Source organism: Homo sapiens, chromosome X (genome assembly GCF_000001405.40).
Source record: "Homo sapiens chromosome X, GRCh38.p14 Primary Assembly".
NCBI lineage: Eukaryota > Metazoa > Chordata > Mammalia > Primates > Hominidae > Homo > Homo sapiens.
The window spans coordinates 138,399,816-138,409,524 of NC_000023.11; positions in this window are offsets into that span (position 1 = coordinate 138,399,816).

Consider the following 9,709-nt stretch of genomic DNA (forward strand, 5'->3'; position numbering starts at 1 on the left):
GAGAAGAATTAAGTTAAAGAAGGGAAACTGCATGGAAGGTGATGTCCTTATTCTTGTTCACTTTGTGGTTATTATTCTTGCCCACTTCTGGTTTACCTTGCTCCTTGTAAGCACCTGCATAGCATTTTATGTTTTAGAAATTAAAATTGGACTTTGGGAATTATAGTTGGGAAATTATTTTCATCTTTCTTAACTTACTTGATCTTCATCAGAACCATATGATTTAGATAGTTATAGTAGTCGTTGTAGTAGTAGTAGTAGCAGCAGCACTAATAGCAGCAGTAATGATATAATCCTTATAAAGCACATTCTATATGCCAAACACTGTTTTAAGCACTTTACATATACTAAGTCAAACATCATATCAACCTTAAGGGTTAGGTTCTATTTATATTACTACTTTTAAAGATCATAAAGCCAAGTGATGGAATGGTCAAGCATCATGCCCAAGGGCATAGGACTGGTGATTGGAGAGTCAGAATTCAAATCTAGGAAGTTTGATTCTTAACCAGTTAATCACTTGGCCAAAATTATTTATTTGTTCATTTACTCAGGAATTATTTGCCAAGTACATACTGTATGCCAGACATTCCTCAAGGCTTTGGAGATATAGCAATGAACAAACCATGTTGTTCTCCTCTTACAAGGTGCTTTCCTTCTTGAAGGGAGAGATACAATAAGCAAAAAGGGAAATTTCAGTTAGTAATACATTATATAAGAAAAATAGGCCAGGCATGGTGGTTCGTACCTATAATCCCAACACTTTGGGAGGCCGAGATGGGAGGATTGCTTGGGCTTAGGTGTTTGAGAGCCACTTGGGCAACACAGCAAGACTTTGTGGCTACAACAAAACAAAACAAAACAAAACAAACGAAACAAAACTGGGCGTGGCAGCATGTGCCTGTAGTCTCAGCTACTCAGGAGGCTGAGGCGGGAGGATAACTTCAAAGCCCAGGGGTTTGAGTATGCTGTGGAAAATGATCACGCCACTGTACTCCAGCCTGGGCAACAGAACGAGCCCCTGTCTCAACATAAAAACAAAAAAAAAGAAGGTTGTGTGAAAGAGTGATGGGGGTGGAGCTACTTACTTATGTTTTTATTGAGGTATAACTCACAATTTAAAATTGCATATATTTAAGGTGTGCAAACTCATTATTTGATATACACTTACATTGTGAAATAATCACCAAAAATAAGCTAATTAATATATCTATCACCTCACATAGTTGCCATTTGCTTGTGTGTGTATGGTGACAACACTTATTGACCTAACCTTTTATCAAATGTCAATTATACAATACAGCATTAACTATTATATTGTTGTACATTCGATCTCCAGAACTTATTCACTTATTCATCCTGTGTAACTGAAACTTTGTACCCCTTGACCAACATACCCTATTTCCCTTTCTCACTGGCTCCAACACTATTCACAATAGCCAAGATGTGGAAACAACCTAAATGTCCATTGTATTAGTGTGTTTTCACACTACTATAAAGAACTACCTGAGACTTGGTAATTTATGGAGAAAAGATGTTTAATTGACCCACAGTTGTGCAGGCTTAACAGGAAACATGACTGGGAGGCCTCAAGAAACTTACAGTCATGGCAGAAGGTGAAGGGGAGGCAAGCATGTTTTACCATGGAGGAACAGGAGAGAGAGAGAGAAAGGGAGAAGTGCCACACACTTTCAGACAGCCAGATGTAATGAGATCTCACTCACTATCATGCAAACAGCAAGGGGGAAATCTGCCCCCATGATCCAACCACCTCCCACCACATCCCTCCCCCAACACTGAGACACACACGTGCGCGCACACACACACATACACACACAGGCATACTATTTAGCCTTATAAAAGAATGAAATTTTGTCATTTTCAACAATATGAACATGAACTTGTAGGCCATTATGCTAAGTGAAATAAGCCAACCACAGAACAACAAATACCACATGATCTCACTTATAAAGGGTGGAGCTGCTTTTGGCTATAATCTGGGAAGTCCTTTCTGAAGAGAAGATAATTGGAGGAGGCTGAAACATTTACAAGAGGAATGAAACAGCCATGTAGACAGAGTTCATCATAAAGTAAGAATAGCATTAGTTCAAAGGTGATAATGACTAAAATCATAGCAGAAAAGAGAAGAAGAGAGTGTGGCTAGAATGTAGAGAATGAGGGGGAGAGTGCAGAACATGAGTTCAGAGGTCCCAAAGGGGTTTGGTTCCATAGAAGGATTTTGGATTTTGCTCCAAGCAAAATGAAAACTCATGGAAGACTTTTGAGCAAGAAAGCATTAGAGTCGGATTTAAATTTAAAATGGCAATTTCTGGCTGTTTTGTAAAGAGAGAACTTCGCCCAGTTAAAAGTGGAAGCAGAAAGACCCACTAGTAAGAAGTGAATGGATTTGGGGCATACTTTGGACTCACAGACAGTAAGGAGAGAACCTGGATGATAAATCAGGTTGTCTACTCCTCAAAAACTAGTTTCAATTTTAACACGAAGAAAATTAATATTTTAATTGCTGAGTGTGGGTAAGGAAGGAAAGAAATGTGCAGGAGACAGATAGGAGAGACAGAGAGAGAGAGGCGGGGCCAGAGAGAAAAGAAGGAAGAGTAAAGAAAGGGAAGGTGAGGGAAAGGAGGAGAAGGGAAGGGAAGAAAGGAAAGAGAAAACATTTAGAATATAAATCTCTGAGGAATGTCTTTCAAGTGAATTGCCACAGTTGAGAACTTTAAGCAGTAGAAAGTCTCTGGAATTGGGGAAGCAAATATTCCGTGTTTCAGAATACTAGGAGACCAAGTTAGCCGAGAAATTCTTCTCAAGATAGACTAAGGACCAGATAGACTCTAGGTGGCTTCTAAAGTGAGAGACAGAATATCATTGTTGATGTTTATAAAAGTGGCCTCCCTTTTATCCTTACAACTGACATGCTCCCCTAAATTGATAAGCATTACAGAATTTAGTCAACTGAATGTATTTTTATTCTTTTGCTTCTTCAATAGAGAGTTATTTAGCAGAGTCTTGCCCCTTTCCTTTAAATGGGGATGTGTTTAAGCGAAGCATATGTCTCTTGTGCATCTTAGCCAGTCTAGCGTGCTGTGAAAGCCTGATAAATGTTCAATCACTCTAACGACCTAAGACTTCTTCCTGAATGTCCTGAGGCTTGTCTCTTGGGTGTAAAGCCTACATTGTTCTGGGAAGTAGTCACAGTAATGGTTTGGTCAATTAGTGTAAGTATTAGCTGTGACTAGATCCAAATGATAAAACTGTGTTTTTAAGCATTCTGAATGTAAGGCACAATATATCTAAAACCTCTTTGTAGATTAAATCAAGTTATAGCCAACATTTCATCAAGCTCCATTTAACAAAGTGTGCCAAGAATCTTAGGATCACTCTCTCTCAACTTTCTTTCTCCTTCACATCCTGTCTCCTGTTAAAACCTGCTCTAAAGAAAAGACTTGAAAGTAATTTGCAAAAGTATAAATGTCTAATAAGCCTTCAGATACTTATTTACTCCTTCAAATACATTTTCATTTCAACAGGAAATAAGAAGTCTCGAAGGAAAAGAATGACACTCCAGTTACAAAATTTGCCCATCAATGAAAGGGGCAGAACAAATAAATCGAATGTTTACTGTATTAATCAAGATTCTGCAGAAAAACAGAACCAATAGAATATTGATTTATTATTTACTTGCTCATTTATTATAAACACTTGGCTCACGCAATTATGGAGGCTGAAAAGTCTAAATCTACAATGTGGTCTTGCAGACTAGAGATCCAGGAGAGGTGGTGGTAATGAAGTTCCAGTGTAAAGGTAGTCTGCTTGAGAATTCACTCTTGCTTGGGGAGGCCATTCTTTCTGTTCTAGTCAGGCCTCCATTTTATTAGATGGTGCCCACCTGCATTAGACAGGGCAATCTGCTTTCCCCGAAGTTCACTGGTTTTAATGTTAATCTCATCCACAAACATCCTCCAAGTTGACACATAAAATTAACCATCACATCTACCTTTGATAAGAACTGTTGAAAATATGGTTCTATCTGCTTACTTCTCCCATGGGTTGTGTTCCTCATTATATTTGATTGTCTTTTGTTTGGAATTCTGTTCAAAACCAACATGATACATATATGAAATGTTATGTTCAAAACAAAAAACATACATATTTGATATGTTATGTTTCCTGCTGTCAATATGTAGATATAGTAAAGAACATACCGGGGATAACTGACCATGTTCAAATTCACAAACGTATGTATTAAGCCCTTATTATAGGATAAGGATTGCAGGTGAAAACACAAATAGGTAAACCATAGACTTACTCTCACACACTCTTGGGGTGAGGAGTAATATAAGTATATAAATTATTATATGTAAGGTAGAATAACAATACTATCATAAAATTAGTATATGCATGATTTTTGAGGATTTAAAGAAAAGAGACATGATATCCCATTGAGAGAATGTATCCATTTCTTTCTTCCTTCATAAAATAAATATGCATGAAGTTCTACTATAGCTAAAGCACTATTTTAGGTGATGGTGATACAGCAGTAAAAAAAAAAAAAAAAATCCCTGCCCTCATGGAATTCCCCTCCTAGGAGGGAAGACAGACAGGCACCCAACATGAAAACAAATCAGTAGAGTGGTTTTAGGTCCTGATAATATTTCAGAGAGTGATAAATAAAACTTTAAAATTAAAATAACCAAAGAGAAGGTGATGGGTTACTATTTAAGTTAGGAAGGCCAGGGTTTTGTTATTGTTTTTGTTTTTTGAGTCAGGTTCTCGCTCTGTCACCCAGGCTAGAGTGCAGTGGCAGGATCATGGCTCACTGTAGCCTCAAACTCCTGGCCTCAAGCAATCCCCACGCTTTGGCCTGCTCAAAGTGCTAGGATTACAGGAATGAGTCAGAGCATCCAGCTCCTTTCTAAAGAATGGCATTTGAATGGACACCTGAATAAAGAAAGGAAGTTATCCATGCTTTTGTCTAAGGGAAAAGCATCCCAATAAATGGGAATCACAAATGTAAAGCCTCTCAGGAAAAAAAAAATGGGTTTGGAGTGTCCAGGAAAATCTTCATGAGGGGTGGGATTTACAAAGAAGCTTAAAGAAGAGGTGAGATTTTTTGCAAGTAAAAATGGGAGTGAGAAAGTGGTGTTTATTTAGAAATATAAAATCTTCTATGAAGAGTATTGGTTATATGTATTTATATGACCCTATAATATTAATTGTAATATTTTATTTCCTAAGTGCTTTTATTTCTCCTCTGTTTTGTGCAATGAATAATTCAAGACATTATGAAATAAATATGAGTGTTGGTCTCATCCTTCTGAAAGTAAAAGACTGAGGTGGACAGGTCTACTATCCAGAGTATGTGCAATCTAATGGAAAGAGCTCTTTCCTCAAAGAGTTTTGTTCTCTAATTTCACAATGAGATCCACATAAATAGCTTTTGCACGCCTCAATAGAAGGTTATTTCTATCTGTCATTCACACTAAAGTGAGAATAATTTTGATCAGGTAGTTGAATAATTTCTTTGTATACTCACATAACCTCAGGTAATCAGAAGGAGACTTAAAAGTCACCTCAGCCAAGCACCTCCTGATGCTTTTGTCCCCACCAAGTGATTGCCTATGTTACCGAACACAACTAATGTTCTCTCTGAGACGTCCCATCCCATCATTGGTCAGCTTAGATAAATCATTCTTTTTGTAGCACCTATCCATTGGTCTAATACCTATACCTCTATGTCAGGATTCTTAGTCACAGATAATAAAATCCACCCTAGGTAGCTTAAATATAAAGGGATTTATTACAGCTTGTTAGATAGCTTACAGAATGTTTGACAGTGTGGGAGATCAAAGATTGGGTAATACACAGCCAGTAACAAGAAATTCTCAACCAAACTGTAGGGCTACTCTAGCAGAAATTCCACTAACACGAATGCCCACTATTCAGCATCTGTGATTTCAGACAGTAAAAAGTAGAATCTCTGCCACATTTTCCCTTGAAGATTCTAACTCTTTATTCACAGTCACCACTTCTCTCTCAAATTTAATGGGCAAGTATATCTGTTTGGTGAAGCCTAGATCACATACAGAAGCTTAGACATAAGGGAATCTGGTCAATGCAGTTTTGTGATTGCAAGACTCTTACTAGTGAAAAATATGGTAGAAGAGGATTGGGAAGGATATGGAATGAGCCAATCTGTAATATTTGTCATATTTCCTCTCTGAGATTTCTTGAAATTAAACAGCTTCAGTTCCTTCAAATGTTGGAGGCTGTTGAGATTTAAGTCGGTTTGCCATCCTGGTACTTCTTCTCTGAGAACACCACTATTTGAATATCTCCTTCAAAATGTCATACCAAGAACATGATAAATTTTTCAGGTATATTTTGACCTGTGAAAAATGGAGCAGTCCTACTACCTCTTCAAGACACTGAACATCTATTGATATAGCCTCCAAATGCTGTTGATTTATGGAGCTTATTGTGTAGGACAGCAAGTCCTTTTCACATGTCTTACTGTTTTTTGTGCTTTTTGTTTTTTTGTTTTGAGAAGGAGTTTCTCTCTTGTTGCCCAGGCTGGAGTGCAATGGCGTGATCTTGCCTCACCGCAACCTCCGCCTCCCAGGTTCAAGTGATTCTCCTGCCTCAGCTTCCTGAGTAGCTGGGATTACAGGCCCAGGCCACCACGCCCAGCTAATTTTTGTATTTTTAGTAGAGACGGGGTTTCACCACGTTGGTCAGACTGGTCTCAAACTCCTGACCTCATGATCCACCCGCCTCAGCCTAGCCAAAGTGCTAGGATTACAGGCGTGAGCCACCGCGCCTGGCCATCTCACTGTTTTTAAGATAAGTCATCCCAAAACTGTGCTACTATACTTGTAGGGCTAGTTTTATACACAAAGGTAGAATGTTGAAATGTATCACTATTAAATTTCATGTTGTTAAAAATCAGAATTCAAAACCTGGTATCAAGAGGCTAAAAATATGGACAAAATATATTTTCCAATATAAATCATTATCTCTCCTGGTTTGTATCTACTAATGGCTTGATAAGCATTTCAAACTATATTCTCACTCAATTAATTAATATGATTAATATGACAAGGTAGAAGACAGAGACCTATCAGAGATGAGTTAACACTGATATATTAATTAGAATAAATTCTGTTTAACTGTACACACACACACACACACACACACACACACACACACACAATTGTTGTCTGGTCCCAATTTATTCATCTTATACATAGTATACTAGGAAAGACTTTGAGTGCTAGTTTTTTTGTGGTGCTATAAAGAAACACCTGAGGCTGGGTAATTTATAAAGAAAAGAGGTTTAACTGGCTCACAGTTCTGCAAGTTGTCACTAAGCATGGCACCAGTGTCTGCTTGGCTTATGGTGAGGCCCAGGAAGCTTTCAATCATGGCAGAAGGCAAAGGAGGATCCAACAAATCACATGGCAAGAAAGGGAGCAAGAGAGAGCAGGAAGGTGGCACATTCTTAAACAACCAGATCTCACATGGACTCAGAGCAAGAACTCACTCATTATCACAAGGGTAGCACCAAGCCATTCATGAGGAATCTGCCCACCATGACCCAAACACCTCCCACTAGGCCTACCTCCAACATTGGAGGTCACATTTCAATATGATATTTGGATGGGACAGAACATCCAAACCATATCACTTTGTAAAATGCCACATAAAAATCCAGTTACATCATTTTCACAGAATACCCTTTATCTACCAGACTGATGAATTTCAACATAATTCATCTCATCATCCTACCCACATAATAGATCTGACTCCTGATTCTCATATGTCTGACAAAAGGTCGTTTCTCCTTTAGGTCACTCAGGAATGTTAAACCGTCTTTGAGACCTTTAATTTCCTCTCACCATGATTAATTAATCACTAAGCTGGTTGTTTTTCTTCCATTATAATGCTCTGGTGTCTCCATTTTGTACTTTCACCACCTTAATCTGGGCCTGTATCATTTCAGACATGGGCTGCTGCGAAAATTTAGCTGATTTCCCTCATTGTTTTATTTGGTGACATCGTGAAGAATAACTTCCTTTTGTTCTTGTGATCCCCATTTAAAATGCAATCACCCATCTCCTCTGTACACATTTATTAGAGATTCTTGAGGGCAGTTTCTTTCAACCTGTTTGTAAGCAACTTAAAAGCAAATATTATGGTATCAGCTCCCACAATTATTGTTCACAGAAATATTATTTAACAGCAGTTAACTAGAGCTTGAACCCATTGAATCAATTCACTTATTAAATGTAGGTACGGAATATTTTTGTAGCACTTATGTGAAGATGAATATATGCAACTGTTTTGAACCAAGAGCAGCGATACCACATTGAATTCATTTGGGTGGTCTTGTGGTAAAGCTTTAAGAATTTGTCATTTGACAATCTTCCAAATGTATTGGCTGCTACTGCAGGCAGAAATCTATTGGCAGATAAAATGCCCCAAGTGTTTCACTTGCAGTGTTTGGCTGAATCACATTTGGCAGTAAAATCTATTCAGAGACCTCAGAGACTCATTAAAACCAGATAACGTTGAAACATAGCAAAATGGTTTCTATTTGGACCATAGTGCCAACTTAATAGATGTGTGAAAAATAAAAGAATTAAGTAGTTTCTTGTAAGAACATACATCTAACTAGCCAAGTCCTGAAATCAGTCAATATGTGTATATGTATTAGGTCAATGGCAGTTGACCTACATGGGTGATAAGAGAGAGATGCCTAAGAGCACACTATATATGTGCTAGAGTATTGAAAATAAATTACCTAGCATTAAAGTTAAGGTATTAGTACATAAATATGCTTCATTTGTATGACACAAAAAAGAATAGTCAGTCTATGGGAGAACCACTTACTAATGGGGGCATAGCTCAGTGGTTCCCAATCCTATATATGATACACATTTATCTCAACTCTTAAAGCAGTTAAAAAGTTTTTCTAGTCACTAGAATAATTCATTGTCATTATAGAGCATTTGGAAGATGCAGAAGTACAAAAGAAAAAATACCATTACCTGGAATCCTGCCACTCAGATTTTACTCCTATTACCATTTGGAAAACTATATAGAATTTTAATATATTTTTATATATAGGTATCTTAATGTGCATATTGTCAAAAGAAATGTTTTCTACTAAAATAAAATAGTTCTTCATTTTCTTGTCATTGATGCTTTCAAATGAACATCCATATGTTAATTCTTACCAACTTTAATCTTTTTGTTGATTTTTATCCATGCTCTAACAGGGAAAATCAAGAATGTATGTATTGTTAAGATAACTAACTGATGCTTGTTTTAGAAGTTGTGCTAGCTATTCTGAAGATCCTTTCTAAAAGACCTCACTGAAGGCATAATAACCTCCAGTAAAATGTAAAGCAATTTGGTAACTGTCAACAAGTGTCAAATAGGTCCCTTGCAGGGAAGGCTGAGTATCTTACTTCTTGGGAACCTCTCTGGTAAGGAATATTGAACACTGTGAATACTGCTTGCCTGGTAATCAGGACATCAGAGCTCTAATTCTGACTCTGCCACTGAATTGCCACTAATCTTATTTTCTGATATATGGAATGGGGGTGGCAGGAAAGTGAACATATTTTAAATTATCTGAAAATTTACTGTGGATCTATTCTGATTTAGACAGAAGACATAGGTAATCAAT